Source organism: Homo sapiens, chromosome Y (assembly GCF_000001405.40).
Source record: "Homo sapiens chromosome Y, GRCh38.p14 Primary Assembly".
NCBI lineage: Eukaryota > Metazoa > Chordata > Mammalia > Primates > Hominidae > Homo > Homo sapiens.
The window spans coordinates 19,588,339-19,607,592 of record NC_000024.10 but is presented as its reverse complement, the minus strand read 5'-3'; the positions used below and the strand labels follow the sequence as shown (position 1 = coordinate 19,607,592).

The 19,254-nt window shown below is 33.9% G+C and overlaps 1 pseudogene across 2 annotated transcripts in view; it reads right to left on the bottom strand.

Moving 5' to 3' along the window:
- Positions 1 to 422: 422 nt before the first annotated feature.
- The window catches only part of TXLNGY (taxilin gamma Y-linked (pseudogene)), a 39,813-nt pseudogene continuing 20,981 nt past the window's right edge, over positions 423 to 19,254 (bottom strand). The window contains exons 3-10 of one of the 2 annotated variants that reach the window (NR_045128.1): positions 17,981 to 18,072; positions 15,634 to 15,813; positions 14,000 to 14,194; positions 11,459 to 11,578; positions 9,928 to 10,002; positions 7,762 to 7,854; positions 5,282 to 5,377; positions 423 to 3,796 (exon numbers count right to left, since the gene is read on the bottom strand). The product of NR_045128.1 is annotated as a taxilin gamma Y-linked (pseudogene), transcript variant 1 (transcript). Of the gene's footprint in view, positions 3,797 to 5,281; positions 5,378 to 7,761; positions 7,855 to 9,927; positions 10,003 to 11,458; positions 11,579 to 13,999; positions 14,195 to 15,633; positions 15,814 to 17,169; positions 17,511 to 17,980; positions 18,073 to 19,254 lie in introns of those variants that run through there. The other variant, NR_045129.1, reaches the window with a different exon arrangement.

The window sequence follows — 19,254 nt, the reverse complement described above, 5'->3', positions numbered from 1 at the left end:
AGCCAGTAAGCTATACCAGTAATGTGGGGCTGCTGTCTCCACAACTATTGCCAAGGTGGACAATATAGGATAATAGGCAGGTAGTCAAATGCCACAATCCTTAGAGAACTTTAGCAGTCTCTTCATTCTAAACTAAGTAGTACCCTGGGGTCTCTGTTTATATTAGATTCCAGAGTTCCAAAAGAGTTGATGTTGTTGCCTATTTAATGGCTGTTTCAATAGAAACTGATTCTTGGCTCTCCCTATTTCTATTTTCCATTACATTACTTCTTGATCTCTTTTAAAAGTGCCTCAACTTTTCCTTCAGTGTTGTCTAGAACAGCAGTCCCCAACTTTTCTGGATGCAGGTACAGGTTTCATAGAAGACAATTTTTTCCACAGACAGGGCAGTTGAGGGGCTGGAGGGAGGAGGATGGTTTGGGAATGGTTCAATGCATAATATTTATTTTGCACTTTATTTCTATTATTACTACATTGTAATACATAATAAAACAATTATACAACTCACCATAATATAGAATCAGTGGGAGCTGTGAGCTTGTTTTCCTGCAACTAGACAGTCCCATCTTGGGGGACAGATCATCAGGCATTAGATTCTTATAAGGAGCATGCAAGATAGATCACTCACATGCATAGGGCACAACAGGGTTAGTGCTCCAATGAGAATCTAATGTTGCTGTTGATCTTACAGGAGGTGGAGTTCAGGCAGTAATGTCACAACGGGGAGTGGCTGTAATAAAGATGAAGCTTGACTTGCCCACTTGCTGCTCACCTCCTGCTGTGCATCCTGGTTCCTAACAGGCCATGATCACTACCAGTTGGGGGTTGGGAACCCCTGGTCTAGAAAGTAAAAGCTATCTAATTGTTTACATAATGTTATATTAACTTTTGCTCACCCATGACTAAATAATAAGACACTGAAATTCTTTATACAAGTATCACCTGCTATTTATATCTATTCAGTTCCCAGTAAATTTGGATAGGCTAAGGTTAACTGATAGTAGAAAATTTCTTGAATACTGTGATTCTTAAAAGCCTTGCCAGAAGTTAAACTACAGAAATCTTAAAGTAACCCACTTTAAAAGGGGTAGGTCACCTATTTTGAATGGGGGTTTGGGAGTGGCCATGCTAACAGAGATCTGACTGAATGAAGTTATTTTTGCCAACTAACCAGATGGTAACGCATCTTTAAATTGTGCAATTAACTATGTTTTTTAAGACCTTAAAAATAGTAACTTTTTCCAACAGTTATTTTTGAACTTCACTGTTACACAGTTGAGGTGACATTCATTATAAAGAATACACAGAGGCTACTATATTAACCATTATATCTATATCTTTAGTTAACCTGAACGAAGTTGAGTAGATAAAATAAGATTCACATTAGGTAAAAAAACAAAAACAAAAACAAAAACAAAAACAAAAAACACAAACTCTACAGAAGTCTTGAAAAGCAAAAGAGAACTGCCTCTTATAAAATCATATCCTTAAAAAAGAGGTGAGATAAAAACAAAGCAGTGTTTTTATCAGTACTGCATCCTTTTTTTCACAGTTATTTTCATTTACAGTTTGAAAGAGGTAGATAATTCTGCAACAGACAAGAATTGAACTGTGATTATCAGGTGTAATAAAATAGTTCCATTAACTTAGAAATATTGGTCTCATCATCAAGAAATATATTAATACACATTTGAAGATGACACACTCTGTCATTCTAGACTCATGTTTTTTCTATAGCTTGGAATCCCCTGCCACTATACATATTACAACTCCAGAATGATACAACAAAAAAATTTAATTGATCGCAACATTTAAACATTTTCTTGGTCAGCTACAGTGTCCAGAAACAGGGCCAAAAAACAGGGTCAGATTGTATACATTTATGGACATGTTCAACTCTGCAGGCTTGGCAAACAGAGAGGTTTGCCAACTTCTATTCTAGAACATTGCAGATACTGGGCATGCCACAGGGCCATTTACAAGGGAATCTTCTGCAAAGGGTTCCTTTGGGTTTTGTTGTTGTTGTTGTTTCCAATGCTAGCCAGAGCAATAATTCTGAAAGGAAACCAAATTCCAAAATACAATGCAGATCTTCGTAATATTGTATTGTAACACAGTGTATCTAACATAAACAGTATGCCAAAAACAACAGAACAAGTTCTGTTTTTCACATTGTTTTCTCCCCAAAATTTACCTTTCACACAAAACAAGTACCACAAAGAAGTGTCACAGCCTAAGAAACTGCCTTAGTATAACATTAAGAGCTTACATCCAGATTTACATCTGATAAAATATGACTGCTGGTATTAACTTTAGGGCATATAAGGTATCTTCATCTCTTCTGAAAGAAGTGGGTCCAGTATTTTGTTTTGTAGCTGAATTGAATATTTATAAAAAGTTGGGGGGTGAGCAGGGGAAGGTGAGTATTTTTGTTTTGCTAATTTTGGCAAAGTAATAAAATTTGTCAAATTTCATGTTAACTTATTTTCCTCTGCTATCTGCCCCCTTGATTATCATAGTCACTAGGGGAAGTGTATATGTAATTCACATCCTAGACTTCTTCCTAAGTACCATATTTCTAAGTACTGGGAAAATTTCCATTTTCTACCTCTATTAGACCACAAATCTGACAAGAGAATATATGTAAAACCATTTAGCTCTATGAGAAACTGAAATAAAAGAAAATTAAGGAATAAATAGTTCAAAATTTTCCATGCCAAGTGCAGAGATCTAGATACTGATTTTTTTTTCTTTAAACATAATTGTAACCTGAAACTAAAGCAGAACAATTGTCAGTTTCATAAATATTAAGCCTATTGGTCCAATGACTTGCCTGCATATGCTACTGTTTTGGTTTTTCTTAACATCATTTACATTTAAATGATCTCTCTGTGTGTGTGTACATACATATATATATATATATATATATATATATATATATATATTCTGTCAATTTTGAGGAATTCAAAGTTTACAGTCACATCAATTTGGAAAGTCATACAAATATTGTCAAAAAACTGATCTGAATCAAATATGCCATGCTTGTTTCTTAATCCATTGAAGTTTTACTTATCATTTAAATGACTTGACAATATTAGTCAGTTTATATTTTCTTTTATGTAGATATTATGGGCTCCAGAGTTTAAATTAGTATTTGATTTCACATTACGAAACCATTATAAAAAAGTCTCAAATTAAGATAATTTAAGGTGATGAACACACAAACGTACACTTTGAAAGGAGAAGGCAATGAAAACATGCATTCCAATAAAGGGGGAAAATGAGGCTGATGTGCAACATAGTTGGGGAAATTGGTAAGAAGCTTTCTGTTACCACACAGTTGAGTAGTTCTAAAAAAACAGAGATATGGTAGAAAAAGGAGAGGAAATTTTCATTACAAAATCAATAGTTACAACTAAAAGAGAAACATGTACACAAAATATATCCATCAGTACAATGATCACACTTAATCTTAATCAATGCCTAGAGGAGATCCTGTGGAGAGGGCTTTTGAGTAGCATTTTACTTCATTCATTCCTTTGGGGTCAGCCTCCAGATGGACTCCTGGGGCTCTTTTAGAGGAAGTGTTCAGCATATTGGAAGAATCCAGGTCAGCACAGGAATGCGTCACAGGCACTGCTAAATCTACATCTGCTACTTTCACAGAGACCTGCCCTTTCAGAATTCCCAGTTTCTCACTGAGTTCATTCCTTTCTATTTGAAGAGCCTTGTACAGCTTCTCTAACCGCTCCAATTTTATTTGAAAGACCTTATAATTTTTATCACGAATAGTTTTCTGTAAGAAAAAAAGATAAGGTTTATGTAACCTTATTAAATATCATTAGGTTACTATATCCAAAATTGAGTAAATTGAGCCATAATAAAAAAAAGTTGCTTTGTTTTCATGTCTTAAACCTCACTATATAGTGCTATGTTAAATATTTAAAATTATTGTTATGCAATGCGATACAAATTATCTCTGTCATTTTCCTTAAAGTAACCAAAAGGGACCTTTTGACTTTAAGTATGACTTATGAAGTACGAAGAAAATCAAGGCTATTAATCAAAAATACCAGCAAAACTTTTCCTATAGAAGCAAAGATAATGTTATAATTGTTAATTTCTTTTTTATATAAAATAACTCACCAAAGGAATGCACATCTATCTGCTTTCTGAAAAAATAATTTCAAACTGATAACTGTCAATTTTAATTATCTTAATTAAAATAAGCCATATTATGTTTTTCTATCATCTAATAAGCTCTTTAGTGAAGAGCTAAAAATATATATAAAGAACATAAAATCATATCCAACTATTAAGGGAAGATGCTATTTTCATCTACTTGCAGTTTTTCTACCCAAATATAAATAATTTGTTTTAGCCATATTATCTCATTACTGAAGTATCATAGGATGACTGAGTAGACTGCTCATTGTAAAATCTAACTGAATCAATTCATTATACATTATAATATCTACCATTAAATGATACTTATTGCTATAAATATTATCATTGATATAATAAAAATAACGAGAAAATGTTTTAAAAATGCCAGCAGTAAGAGTTCATTAAAGTTATTTTTACATGGGTTTTTCTTCCTTTCTACCATTTTTGAGAAGAGAATGTTCCAACATTTTCTTATGAAATGTTATAATTAGTCCAATCAAGTTTACAAAATAAAAACTTAAGTGACTGCAAATGGTATGCAACTCAGCTATATTTACAGCAAACTTGGTAAACTCTACTTAGTTGCCTTTTGGAAATGAATAAATCAAGGTAGAAAAGCAATTGAGATACTAATTCATGCTCTCAGGGGAAAATCTGAATAAAGCTATCTTTTCTAACACAGAGCAAGTGACTCTCAAAGTCACAGTATCTGAACTAGCATATCAGCATCGCCTGAATACCTAGAAATGCAAATTCCTGGGCAACACCAGAATCTAACAAAGCAAAAAACTATGGGGGGAACAGGGAAGTCGGTTTAATAATACTGAGTTTGTGCAACCTCAACTTTGCTTTATAGGAAAGCAAAATCTCAATATGATAAAGTTTTCTTCAACAAAACTCTGAGATAACTATGTTGAGGGAAAGAAGTTGATCACATGCAAGAAAATCTAATTCGCTGCAGGAAAGTGTATAAATAAAACTTGTAGTTATTAGGCACACATTCTGAAGGTAAAGACACACTTCCAGAGGTTATTTAGTTAAGACTAAATAATGACTTAGTCTTCGTACTGAAATAAGTAAGTACTCATTATTTAGTCACGTAAAACCTTCTTACCTCTTCAGCCATTTGCAGAAGTGTTGTATTATTATTTTCCCATTTGGTATACCATATTACCATTTCTTTTTCCAGTTTTTTAATTTTCTTTGTCAGCTGTGAATCAACATAATCATAAACTTAAATTCTAAGTTTCACTTCCTGATCCACCACAGAAATCACTTTACAATGTTCTTCCCTTCCTCCATCACTGCATTCTTCTCAACCAGCTGACACTTGTGTTTTCTTTATAAGAGTAAGTGGTATCTTTCTTTTGTTAGTAAAGTTTATCTCAGAAGCTCCTATGGTAAAAGCAGCAGTAACCAAAGCAGAAGTTTCACATTAAAAGAAAACAAAGTTGTTGTCCTTAATTTCAAGGGAATCAGCACATGGTAGCTGAATTCTCTCAATTAAGACTGATGTGTAGCTCAGCTCAGGTGTGGACAGTAGAGCTGAGACCTCCTGCTCCTGAAGTATATGAAAAAATGTCCCCGAGTTTTCTGGAGAAATGATAAATTACACTAATCCATCAGATTATTTTATATACTGTCAGTCCCAAAGTAGCTCAAGAATCTGAAAGGAAATCAGTGTAAGAGCTAGAGGTAGCGTAATTTAGGGAACTAATCAGGAAAGAGGTATTAACATTTCTGAATCCTTAGTTTCACTTATCCTTTCAATTCACAAGATTGCTTTATTTCACATTTTGATAAAGACCAAAATGGTCCAAAAATAAGGGGAGGAAGAACCTATACTACAAGAACCGAATTCCCAGACACTCAGGATAAACTTTAGGTATATCCTTCAATCAGCTTTGTTCCAAATACAGGTAACGAGCCAGGCAATGTTACGGAAAATAAGGGTAAGATAAAGCAAATATCCTGTGCTTTGGTTAACAAACAAAACTGTATCACAAGTCAAACTCGTACAAAAGGCAGGAGAAGAGGTCTGGAAGATCTGTTAGGTGCTGAACTACAGTCACCTTTACACCCACTATGTAGCATATGCTACAGTCCATCTAACACTTTCACTGTGCCTAACAGTTCTGCTTCCACTGCAGTCATAACTGAAAGGATAGGCAGGAAGAACTTATTTGTTACTCAATGAATTCTCCCAATTACTAAGTCTAAAAAGTAATGAAGGTAGTAATTTGAGTATTTAACACAACCAAGAATTGACTTAAGTATATTAGATGTTTTTGCTGTTTTTATTTTTAACCATGAGAAAAGAAAGACATGGAAAAGTTAAATAACTTGTTCTATGGTCATCTATAGCAAAAAAAGATCTAATAATAATCAAGACTAACATATATTGAATGCTTATGAATTTCCCAGACACAGCTACTGTACTATCTCCAATCAGCACATTTTAAAGAAATCTTAACTTAAATAGGGAAATGCCAAGGTAAATGACTCACCCTAAGGAAGTCACGAAGTGCAAGTTAGAGATCTCAGTTTCAGAGTTTATGCTCCAAACCGCAGTGCTATGTGTTTATTTGGGGAGACAGATAATTCTGCTCTTTAAAATTGCTATTTTAGCCTGTATGCTGAATTGGAATAACCCATAACATTTTTCTACATCTAATTTTAAAAAACGGTTTAAATTTTGTATTAATTAAGAATACATCTTGTATATTGTGTGAATACATATATAGTTTATATATAATATATATATAGTTTATATATATAATTAAATTTTGTATTAAGAATACATCTTGTATATTGTGTGAATATATATATATATAAAAACTATACATATATGTAGTTTAAATTTCAAAGAGTAAATATATTTCAGGTTTAGCTAGGTCCTCAGAAATAAAGCTATTCCTACCAAGATATATTATTACTTTCCTTGGCTTGGATTTTTAAAATAATTTTATATAAAATTTTTAGTTTACATAAGGCTATGTGAAAGAACTGGGTAATTAAGAGAGGTGACTAAACAAAAATCATCTACAAATAAACTGTCCTTAATGGAAGAATTCTCTTTAATTGTAATAGAAGTCTCAGAATACCATGATAATTAGTATTCTGGGGCAATTTTAGGGCAAAATACCTGAATAAGCTGGTGAAAGAAAAAAAAAGATACTATCAGATTAATATAAACTCATATAAGTGCAATTATGTTTTTTTGTTTGTTTGTTTTTTTCTTTCAGAGACAGGGTCTCCCTCTGTCACCTTGGCTGAAGTACAGTGACATGATCATGGATCACTGTAGCCTCGACCTCCTGGCCTTAAACAATCCTTCTACCTTGGCCTCCAGAGTGGCTGGAACTACAACTGCACACCACCCCGTATGGCCACTTTTTTTTTTTTCCCACTTTTGTAGCAATATGGTACCCAGGCTGGTCTTGAACTCCTCTTGTCAAGCAATCTTCCTATCTTGGCCTCCCAAAATGCTTGGATTACAGGTGTGAGCCACCACGCCTGGCCACAGTTATGCTTAAAATAACCTCTTGTATCAATTACTTTTTACATAATATTCTATTAAAAATATGTAAATACCTTTTCCGTTTCCTGCTTGAAGGCTGTAAAAAGTTCATTGGTTTTTGCCATGGTAGTCTGGAATTCTTCAAACTTATCCATATAAAGGAAAAGCTATAGAAAAAAATGATCAAATATTCAGAGTTTCAGAAAAGCAATTTAAAACCCCAAAAGATTTTAAAATAACATAATAACTTTCAAAAAACTTAATATAATTAAACATTAGGTTTGATACATGACTGAAAAACAACAGAAACACACACCCAATCCCTGAACTGCAGAATATATACCTGAAATGTTTATAACCCACTGAAATGCACTGAAACTTCACTGTCTTCATCATCTTTAACTGTAAATGTTAAAAGGTAAGGCTGGGCATGGAAGCTCATGCCTGTAATCCCAGCACTTTGGGAGGCCAAGTCGGGTGGATCACAAGGTCAGGAGTTCAAGACCAGCCTGGCCACTATGGTGAAACCACATCTCTACTAAAAACACAAAAATTAGTCGGGCATGGTGACAAGTGCCTGTACTCCCAGCTATTTGGGAGACTAAGGGAGGGGAATTGCCTAAACCCAGAAGGCGGAGGTTGCAGTGACCTGAGATTGCACCACTGCACTCCAGCCTAGGTGACACAGTGAGACTCTGTCTGAAAAAAACAAAACAAAATAAACAAACAAAAAGTAAAATCACTTATTAGCTCTACTCCATCAGTTGTAATAAAAACTGAAGTACAGTGGTATAGCTGTGAATTTCATATAACCATAATGCTTTGGGTATTACTAAGTCTTCTTTGCATTTGAAAACCTTTTCTTGTAAAAAGAGCATCCCTTTAGAGTATTTAGCTTAGTTGAGGGTATCTAGTTCTTAGTTTAATATTAAGGCTAACTCTTTGCTTTATGTATGCAGAAAAATAAACCAGAAGCCAAATAGTTTGATGGGGGATAAAATTAGTGGGAGTACAGTTAAGAAAAAGATAACCTAAAAGAGGTCGAAAAAGCAATTTTCTATTAATGCCATCATCATAGACTTTTTATTTTAGGTGGGAGAATAACAGCAGCAAGCCACGCAGAACATTACATTTAGTTACCTTTCTTCATAACCAGGATCACACTGACAATGGAAATGTTCATTGCAAACCACAATCTCTCTGCAATTTGTTAAATCTTGTTATATTTATTACACTAAGATATCTGCATCCTTGGAATCTACATACCTTGTGCTGACCACAAGTAGTCACAGGTTCTGTATATGTCCCTCATGTTTTGAACCATTTCTTGCATGTGCCGACAAACATACGTGACCTCCAAAGTAAGTATATTGTATATCAAAGTCTGTCATTGATACTGGTTCTGAATGTGTCCAGTGACAGACAATCTTTCCATAAATGATATCATAAAAATGACAACAGGAACCACATTTTCCAAATTTGTCATTTAGAAAATTCACTTCTTCTGTACACAGAAGATTAGCAGACCTAGAAAATTTTCCAAATAACTGTGCACACTGTCTATCCCTATCTCTACATACTCCTTTAAAGCAATAGCTAGTCTTATTATTGCAGTATCCTAAATCAGGAGCTTTCACATCAAGTACACAAAGTGCAGATGTTCCATTGCAATTTTCTGGAAAATCACACATATCTATGTTTTTTCTGCACAACATTTCTGATATCTTTCCTTAGAAAGTGAACATACAGCATCTGTTTCCTTTATCTCAAACAATAAAAGCACACAAAGACTAGAATGGGACACTATAGGGGTCCAGACTGAAAAATGGAGAGAGCCCAATATTTTTTTAGAAAGCATACACACACACACAAAATCTTATGGTGAAGTAGGACTGTCTGGCCATTTGTAATATTTTAAAATTCTATGTAGCTAGCCATAAGACAAAATTATAAAGGTTTTAGAGAAAATATCTGGGACAGAGGAAAGCCAACTTTCAAAATAGCCATCACAACCAGCCATCACAATCAACCTGGAACTAGGGTTGCCAAAATGAATACAAATCATTTATGGTTTTTATGGTGCCATAAAAATGCCAAAAAAAAATCAAGGCAAATCAGAATTAATTGGTCACCCTAAAAGAAGAGAAAGTTTCCAAGAGGACAAGAATCAAATCCTCTGTTCTAGTCTGTGGCTGGGAACAAGAAGACACAAATTCTGCTATTCTCTGTTGTTAAGTTACCTGCTCTTTCAGTTGTGCTTCTTCTTGTTTCATTTCTTCATATTTGTGCCTCGATTCTGTTGCTTCTTTTAATAACTAGAAAACAGATACATTCTGACAGAATACTAACAACAATTATAAACATGGTCAAAATGTCTAACAGATAGGCTTAATCTTCCAGTAATTATCCTGGCAACAATGACAGGTCAACCCAATTATCTCAATTTCTAACTACTTCTATCTCTTATCTGTTCCACTGGTGAACACTTAGGAATGTAGGAATAATTGCTTAAAGAGAAAAAGTAACCTAGAAGCATAATAAAGTTTATAGTACTCAGGGTTGAAATGTTGTGTTTTACATGAGGAATAACTAGACATCTACACTTTTAGACAGAAAACGCAGCTAAGAATCTTGACATTGTCTAGGTTATTTAGAAAGCCCCTCAACTCTGTAAAAGATAAAAGCAGGTTAAAAGAATATGCAGCAAAGCAATGAAAATAGAGACCTAGTTTCTGGTCACTTTTTTAAAACCACAGGAAAGGAACAGCTAAGGGAAGAAAAGAGATTAGTTAGTATTTGAGTTTTTCAGAAACATAGATAATAAAGATGCATGGGAAGCAGCTGTGAAATTCAGTCACTGAATTTCTGAGGTAAAATGTCACATATTATGTAAATAAGCCTTAAACCACAAAATACACACATAGATATACATAGATACATACAAAATTTATACTCCAAGTTGAAAGGTGCAATTAAGTTTCTTTAATTGTGCACTGATATCTGTCAGCTTGCACTGAAGAGACATGCTGTGTGAAACATCTCTCCAAACCCTAGACTCATTCAATATGAGAGGCTTGAATGAGAAAACACTAAGGAACTAAATATTCATAACATGCTCTACTCAGGGCCTACATTACTTGAATGAAGAAAATGTAATACACCACATTATTAAAATCATTTTTCATTCATAGAATATAGTTTCATTTCCATGGGGGTAAATGGGTATAGTCAAATTAGATTTTTTCTGTGTTCTCAATTATGGACAGACAAAATCTGAATACATATTCTAGCAACAATGCTGACCAAGACACAGATAATTTTGTCAGAAAATTATACCAGAATATAATCAAAGTAAACAAATCATTTACCAATTTTTAAATTGCTTATTTAAAAATGAAATGTAACACTAGGTAGAAGTCTCATGTTCACTAAGTTGGTGTAAAATTTAACTGTCCCTAAATCTCAAAGCCTATCTTGCCTAATAACTGGCACAATTCTTTAACTTGGTGACCACTACATAGAAAGCAAAATTATCTTGTTTTTCCACTAATTTAATCTTATCTCCAGTAAATTTCATATGAAAATTTCATCAGAAACAGAAAGCTTAATACACACACACACACACACACACACACACTCGCATATCCCACATCCAGAGAGTAAGAAACAAAATTGCATGCCCTGGCACTATGTTAAGTGAGGAGTTTGTTTTAAATGGCTTTGGTTACAATTTTGGCGATCTTTTTTTTTTTTCCAAGAAGTAGAACTTACAAACTCTCTCTCTCTCTGATGTCTTTCATCAGCTTCTTTTATCAGCTGTGCTGTTTGTTGAAGTCTGGCATCTACAAGCTGTTGTCGTAATTCCTTATGTTTGAACGCTTTATTAATTTGCTACAGGAAAACAGAATTTCTTGCACCACTAACCAAAGAAATAAATACAGTGGGGAGAAAACATAACACAAATTTCTAGAACCCTGCTTACCCTTCTTTTCTGCTGCTACCACTGTAGTTAAGAACACTGACTCCTTCTGTCCCCGTCACTGCAGAAGTGGCTACAACATATCATCTTGCAAACTATCCCACACTAGAAAGAGCACAACCCTCTAACTGCTGCCCCATGTCCCACCCTATCAGACGTGGGCTGTCCCCATCAAAATATCTGTACTTCTTGCTTCTGCCCTACATTGGAAAAAAAAAAGCTGATATTTTATCAAGAAAAAGATGGATAAGGAGATCAAAATATCAAATTCATTTATTACACACATAATTCCTGGACATTTTTTGTTCACAAAATCTTCTGAAATTCCTTAATTGTAGGTAGCCTGATAAAATGAAAAAAATGGTCTGGAGCAAATCCTAGCTTATTGTATGATCCAGGACAATTTCTTCTCCTTGTGAAACACAGTTTCCTTATCTGCAAAGGTTCATGACCATACCTAACTTGCAGAGTTGCTGTCCAAATCTATGCAATAATTAAACTGTGTAAGGTGCTTGATGCCTGGCACATATTAAACATTTGGTAAAATCCTGTTATTATTTAAAAGCTATGTCATTAAGTGCTATTGTACATACAATAGACTCATTAGGAAATCCCTCCACACATGGAGGTTCTATGTGAAGGAAGAAATGCTAGCTGAAAATAATGTACTTAAATTAAGTTTTGAGAAGACTGCAACAGATAATCTGTCTTAATCTGCAACTGATTTTATCATTATTCAATTATTTTCTGATAAAAGAAAAAGACTGTAATATCTAAACAAGACATACAAGTAGTACAACTTGAACACATGTCCTCTCCCAATCTGCTACTTCTATAGCAAATTTGGAGAGTTTAATACAGTTAAAATAATATAAATCCTAAAGAGTAAAATAATAAAAAATAAAATAAAATTAATCATTTTTAATACCATTATTTAAAACAATGGAATTTAAAGGATTCTTTTAAAAAAACTGATGATATTCATAATATGCTTTATAATATAAAACAAATTTAATTTTAAAAGTTCACTATATAGGCCTAAAAAATTTCTTTAATAAATACATTCCAAGGAAAAAAAAGAGGGGGGGGAAGCTTATATACTAAAAAGACTTGAGACATATTAAAACAATAAAATGTATAAACCTTATTTTGATGTTGATGTAAACAACCTGAAGGAAAAGGGAAGTAACAGATATTTAAATAGTACAGTGAGAAGGTATGTGATTACATAGCAATTGTTTAACCTTTTGGAGTAAAAATAGTACAGTGATTATGGCTTAAAAAGAATCTTATTTCATGATGCATATTTGAATAGTAATAAATAAAATGATATAATATCTTGGATTTGCTTAAAAATAGATGGAAACAAGAGTTGCTAGAAACAAAAGTAAATAATTGCTAAAGCCAAGTGATATATTCTACTATAAGTTTGCAGCTTCCATAATAAGTTTGAAATGTTCTTGAAACATAGAGGAAAATGGTTTAAAAGATACTCAAAATCTTAAAGAAAAATGTTTTCAAAAGTAGCATGAAAAGGTGTAACTCAAAATAACATTTTGATATGCATAAAGTAATATTTACTGTTTTATTAATTTTTAAATTGTCACTTTCTATTTCCAATTTTAATCTACTAAGTAAGGATTTAAATATATATTTTACTAGCTTAAAGCATAATAAAGGAAGGGGATGCATCCTTTGAAAATTGAAATCTTACCCTATGTATAGACCTCTAAAAGTAAAGAAAAAATAAAAACAAATAAGCAGGTTATCACCTATTTGTTTTTTATTTAGCCATCATACAACTTCCACATCAATTTATAAAATAACTCCAATGACTAGGTTCGACAACTATTGAGTCCTCCACAAACTTTTTACTTCATTGATTACACAAACAATGTGACTTGGTGATGGGTAATTAGTAGGTTCCTTATTCTCACAAATAGCACAATTCTCCTATTTATATTGTTCAGATTGTCACAGAAATCTGAGATACAGAGTATTTAGGGAACAAATCTGTATTATTAGACTGCATAAGAGAAAAATATCTGTATGCTATATTGACAATCTTGTAGCATCATATGGGAGACAAGTGGTACACATCTCCTAGAAATCCCTTTACTTATCCTACTCCACTGACACTTGGGCCAAGTGATGCTCCAATTTAGTCATTCTGTTTACAGGTTTCTACTCTTTTCCTAATAAACATGTAATTTCCACTGTGCATACACAAAAGTTCTAAAATACTGTCCTGTGAAAGAGTTTTTACTTTACGGTAGGGTGTAGCTTTTGCTACTGGTGAGCAGCTGTCTATAAACAAACCAAACGCCGTTTACCTCTTCCCTCAGTGCATACTGGTCAGTGAGCTTCTTTAGCTTTTCTCCCATTTCCATGTTCTCCTGCTGCAGTTTGGCATTGTGTATTTCATGCTGTTCCAGCTGGGCTTGAGTTTCAGTTAAAGTAATTTGGAAATGTGCAGTTACTTCTTTAAGAACTTCTTCCTCCTCTTTTTTCTGCTGCATATGTTCCTCCTTATTATCCAAAATAATGTATGTTAAAAGTACAGACCTACAGATAAAGCTCGCGAAAAAGAAGCTACTGCTATGTGAGTTCATTTATTGCTCCCATGAGGTGTTGCTTTTAAACTATAATTCCTCCCCCTTATTTATGACCAGAAATCTCTCATTTAAAAGCAAGCAGCTTTTTCTAAGTAGATAATTAGAGAAAAGCAAATGCCCTACTATAAAATAAGTATCATCTGCTGATCCAGATATTCACTATACTATAATTAAATATAAGTAAGATGCTGCTCCACAGTTAGTTTCTTCCACATTATTTTCCCAAAAGTCATCCTCACTGGTTAGGCAGTATACCATCCTACATCAGCCTGAAGATCTTACAGCCTACTTTCTGAGTTACACTTTCAATTTTATAAGAGGGAAGGGACAAACTAAATCATTATTTTACAAAGTTTACTTTCAAAGTCTTACTAGGATACAAGTGTCAACAGACCTTTACCTAAACAGTTATCAGTACAGTCTAAATATTGACAGTGCTATCTACTTTTATTATATTTAAATCCAAGATTTCAAAAGCAAGAAAAATAAATACAAACCTTACAAGTAAGAACCTATTTCACAAGCTGTCCTATGTTCTTGAGTTTACTGTGATGAGGGTGATCCAGCACCATCAAAATAATACTCCAACCATACACCCCCTAGCAATACCACAAAGTCAGACAAATTCCTCTGATGGATGGCAGATTCTTTCCAGGATCTCTGCTTTTTACTTCCATTATTGAGACAAGCTGTCATACTTAATCCTTCTTCTGTTATAATCAGCCTAGCTGTAAGTAATATTCTAAAGTATTTAGCAACCAAATAGCCAAAGATGGCAGAATGTAGTTTAACAATCTATCCTATTAACTTTTATAGTAGAGCTCTACAGTGTGTTTTTCTTTCTCAAACTCACACTGACTATGGCTACCAGTTTCTTCATTTCAGCTAAGATTTTCACTCATTACCAAAAAAGGACATGATAACCAACTACACCAAAAGCCAACAAAAATATCTGGCAACTGTGAGCTTTTTAAGCAGGAGAGCTGTGAACATAAAAACCAATGTCATCTAGATTCCCTGTGATCAAGTATACAGTAGACTAAGGTAGAGCTTATCCTTGAATCTGAAACCAAAATTTACATAGAGTGAGTCTTTAGAGAGTTACCTCACAGGCAGCATCAGCTCAAGCAAAACAAAAAGCAAGGGATCTCTGTGTTAAGATGTCTACAAAGTTGTCTGCTTAGGAATCTGATCTACCAGCACAAGTGTACCTGAGCCAGTTAACAAGAAGCCATTATAGCAACTAATTCCCATTAAAAGACATAGAGCAAGAATTTATTTCAAGTAGTTACAAGGCGATTATAAAAGCAGCCTAAGTAGTTCCTGAAATACAGTAAAATAAACCAACTAACCTTTAATGTCTTATTTTGACATTAATTTTGCTGAAGTTCCCTGCAAAGAGATTCTAGCTTGCTTCTTGCCAAGATGGTCTTGCTGTATTCACTCTGCAAGTGAACTTTCTCTTTGACAATCTGAGCTTGCTTATTCTGCAGAATCTTCATTTGCCTCTGAACATTCCTGCTTTCCTCCAGCTAAAATTAATAACCACTTTACATTTAGGAAGTATAGTAATCTGAGTTATAGCTCTAAGCACTGCAATTACAGCCATGGAACATTTTATGTTCCCCTCTTTTCTAGTGACAGGAAAGTATGTAAATAATTTTGTGTAGCAAGAAAAGCAATCTTAATCTCCATTTTTTATTAATAGGAAAAAGTAACCTTTTAATCAAAAGCTTATTTCAGACTAAAATGATATAGTTTTCCTATTCTACAAGAGCTACTTTATTGAAACAGCTACCAAAATTAGAACACAATAAGCAGTGCTCAAGATTCATCAGTCAAGTCAGTTTCAGATTTATAATAAATGATTCCAAATTATACTACTAGATAACATAGTGGTCATCCTAATTCTTGAGTAAAGCTTTTATGAAAAATAAAAAATTGACGAAGCAAACATTTCAAGAGAGAATGAAATATCAAGAAACCTATCAAACATCCTTGCAGGCAATATTCTTATAGGTATTAAAAACACCTTTATTGGCCAGGGATGGTGGCTCATAACTGTAATCTCACTCAACACTCTGGGAAGTTGAGGTGGGAGGATCACTTGAGCCCAGGAGTTCATGACTCCATTTCTACAAAAATTTTTTTAAAATTAGCCATGCATGCTTGTGCATGTCTGTAGTGCCAGGTACTCAGGAGGCCGATACAGGAGAATTGTTTGAGCCTAGGAGTTCAAGACTGTAGTGAACTGTGACTGAACCATGGTATACCAGCCTTAGCGACAGTGCAAGACTCTGACTAAAATAAATTAATTAAATAAATAAATAATGCAGTATTTCAGTCACTTCCACCTCTACTGTGGCCAATTTTACAAAGTGCGTTTTCAGATCTACTAAATCCAAATCTTCAATTTGACAATTCTTGTGTGATTTCTATGTGTTTGAGGACCACCCTAGATGACCATGCTACAGTATGCAACCAAATTGCTCTTTCTTCCCCAACCCTTTCATGGCTGACAGCTAGGAAATCTCCTAACCTTCTAGTACACTGCTTTTTCTACCAGAAATTCAATGCTTTTGTCAGTCTTTCTTTTATCTTCTTTGTTGCTGTCTTCTTTTTCTGGCATTTCTCGCATGAGTTTCCTCAGGCTGATGTAACAATTGAGACTGGCTTCCATATCCAATGGAAGCATTCCTTTCCTGAACATAGCAAGCAACAATTTTATTTTCTGCTGTCTTTGCTTTTGGACAGTTCTAAGCTATTTACATTTATGCTCAGGGATTCCTGCTTCTCAAAATATCAGAAGGTGCCAGGCTGCTGCTAAGTATGTGGCACTTGAAGATGCCAGCTAAGTGGAGGTAAATATGGACCACATGAGAGAATAGTAACTATTATTGTTACAGCTTTATTCTTGGAGTTGATTATTAACTAAATATTTGTTTTGTGCATTTACAACATGGAGTTGCTGCTTTAACACTATTTGAAAGTGTACAAAAACTGTCAGTGATAATTCCCATAAATGTTTCACAAAACAGAATTTTAGCATTTATTTAATTATAAAAATTTCCCATGATTCTTCAAAAAGTTCTGTATCTTTTCCATTATTTGCTTTACAAAGTCTAGTAGGGTTTCCCTGTTGAGAATGTTTCCATAGTCTCCAAAAAAAGAATTTTGTTTCAAATCGTATAGTTCAAAACAAACTCTTCTATAGAAGAGGTGAATTTCCCTGGAAGATGGAAAAAAGAACAATGCTTGGCATACAGTAGATATTAAATAAATATTTCCTGAGCCATAGTACAATTTTACTAAACAATCTTATCTAACTCACAATTTTAATCAAGAATGGTTAGAGCTTGAATCTGCAGAATTCCTTCGGAAAATTTTAAATACAGAAACCACTTCCTCCCAATTGTCAGGCATCTTAAGCATACAAAAAAAAAAAACTGCTGATCTAGCATATTAAGTTTTAGGAAATTTATTTCACATTTAAAAAAGTATTATTATGTTCTATACATCATTTCATAAGATGAAGTCACACACACCAATCATAAGTACTAAAGAAAGGAGATTGTTTTCAATTTTGAGATAAAATATCATTTTACATTTAAAGTTACATCAAAATAATATTTAAAAATCTTATCAAGCACACATAGATTTTATTTTCTGTGTTCCTTGCTCCATTAAATAAATACTCACAAGATCAGCATATTTCTTACAGAGAGCTGCCAGCTTCTCCTCTGGAGTCGAAAGAGTGTTTAGGGCTTGCATCAATAATAAAACTTCTTTTCCTAATGATTAATAAGATTTTAAAAAGTACCAGAAGAAGGCTGAAATCAATCCAATCTGTAAATTTTATGTAAACTTCTATGTTAAGACATTCAGAGTAAAATGATATAGCTCTAATTAAAAACAGATTTACCTATTAAATTCAGGTAACTTTTGAAAATTTAGCAGGTACTTCCTCCAGCTGTACAAATTTCTTCAATTATCAAGCACCACTACTAGCTATTTAGCCCTTAAATGTAGTGCAAGATAATTACTGCACGTTTAAGAACTACTCTTGCCTAACCACTATTTAGACAGTAACATTCTAAGTTAAGATATGTAAAAGGGCAGGGAATAAGGCTTCCTGCTAGTGAAGGACAACTATAAAAGGATATTCAGTTACTATTCACTGCCTAAGACACTCATAACTCTTTATAATATGTAACTTTTGCTATGAACAATTTAAACAAGTTATGATTGTTTTGGGATGATCTGCTAAGCATATTCTGGGTGTTAGGTTTAGATCAAAGAAAAGGAAGTCAAAATAGCTCTTCCCTTGAAGAAAAGTTTTAAAAGAGTACTATAATAACTTTGCAAGGGACAAGCAAGTAGCTGAAATAGAAAGAGTCAAATGGTGCTTCAAAATACATACTAATGTTCTACTGGTAACGATGGAGATAGGTAACTTTTGATTTGTTCTCTCTAATATGTAACACAGTTCTTTAAAACCTTGACTTTTGGTATACTTTACAGAGTACTAGAGGTTGAGGGAAAACAGGCTGACTTCAAATAATGCTTCTGTATGCACATAAAATTTTAGTACTAAATTCTTTTCTCATTCACACCAAAGCCAAGTAAGAAAGAAACACTGGGCAGGGTATACTAGCTCACACCTGTAATCTTGACACTTGGAAAAGCCAATGCCAGTACAGGTAGCCAAAATATACTGCTACAGGACAGTATACCAAGACCAGCCTGGGCAAGAGAATGACAGCCCATCTCTACAACAAAAGAAAAATAAAAAATTAGCCATGTGTGGTGGTGTACGCCTGTAGCCCCAGCTACTCTAGAGTCTGAAGAGACAGGATCACGAGCTCAGGGAGTTTAAGGCTGCCATGACCCATGAATGTACCACCGCGCTCCAGCCTGGGTGACAGGGAAAGACCTTGTCTCTCTAGAAAAAAGAATAAATAAATATTGTTATT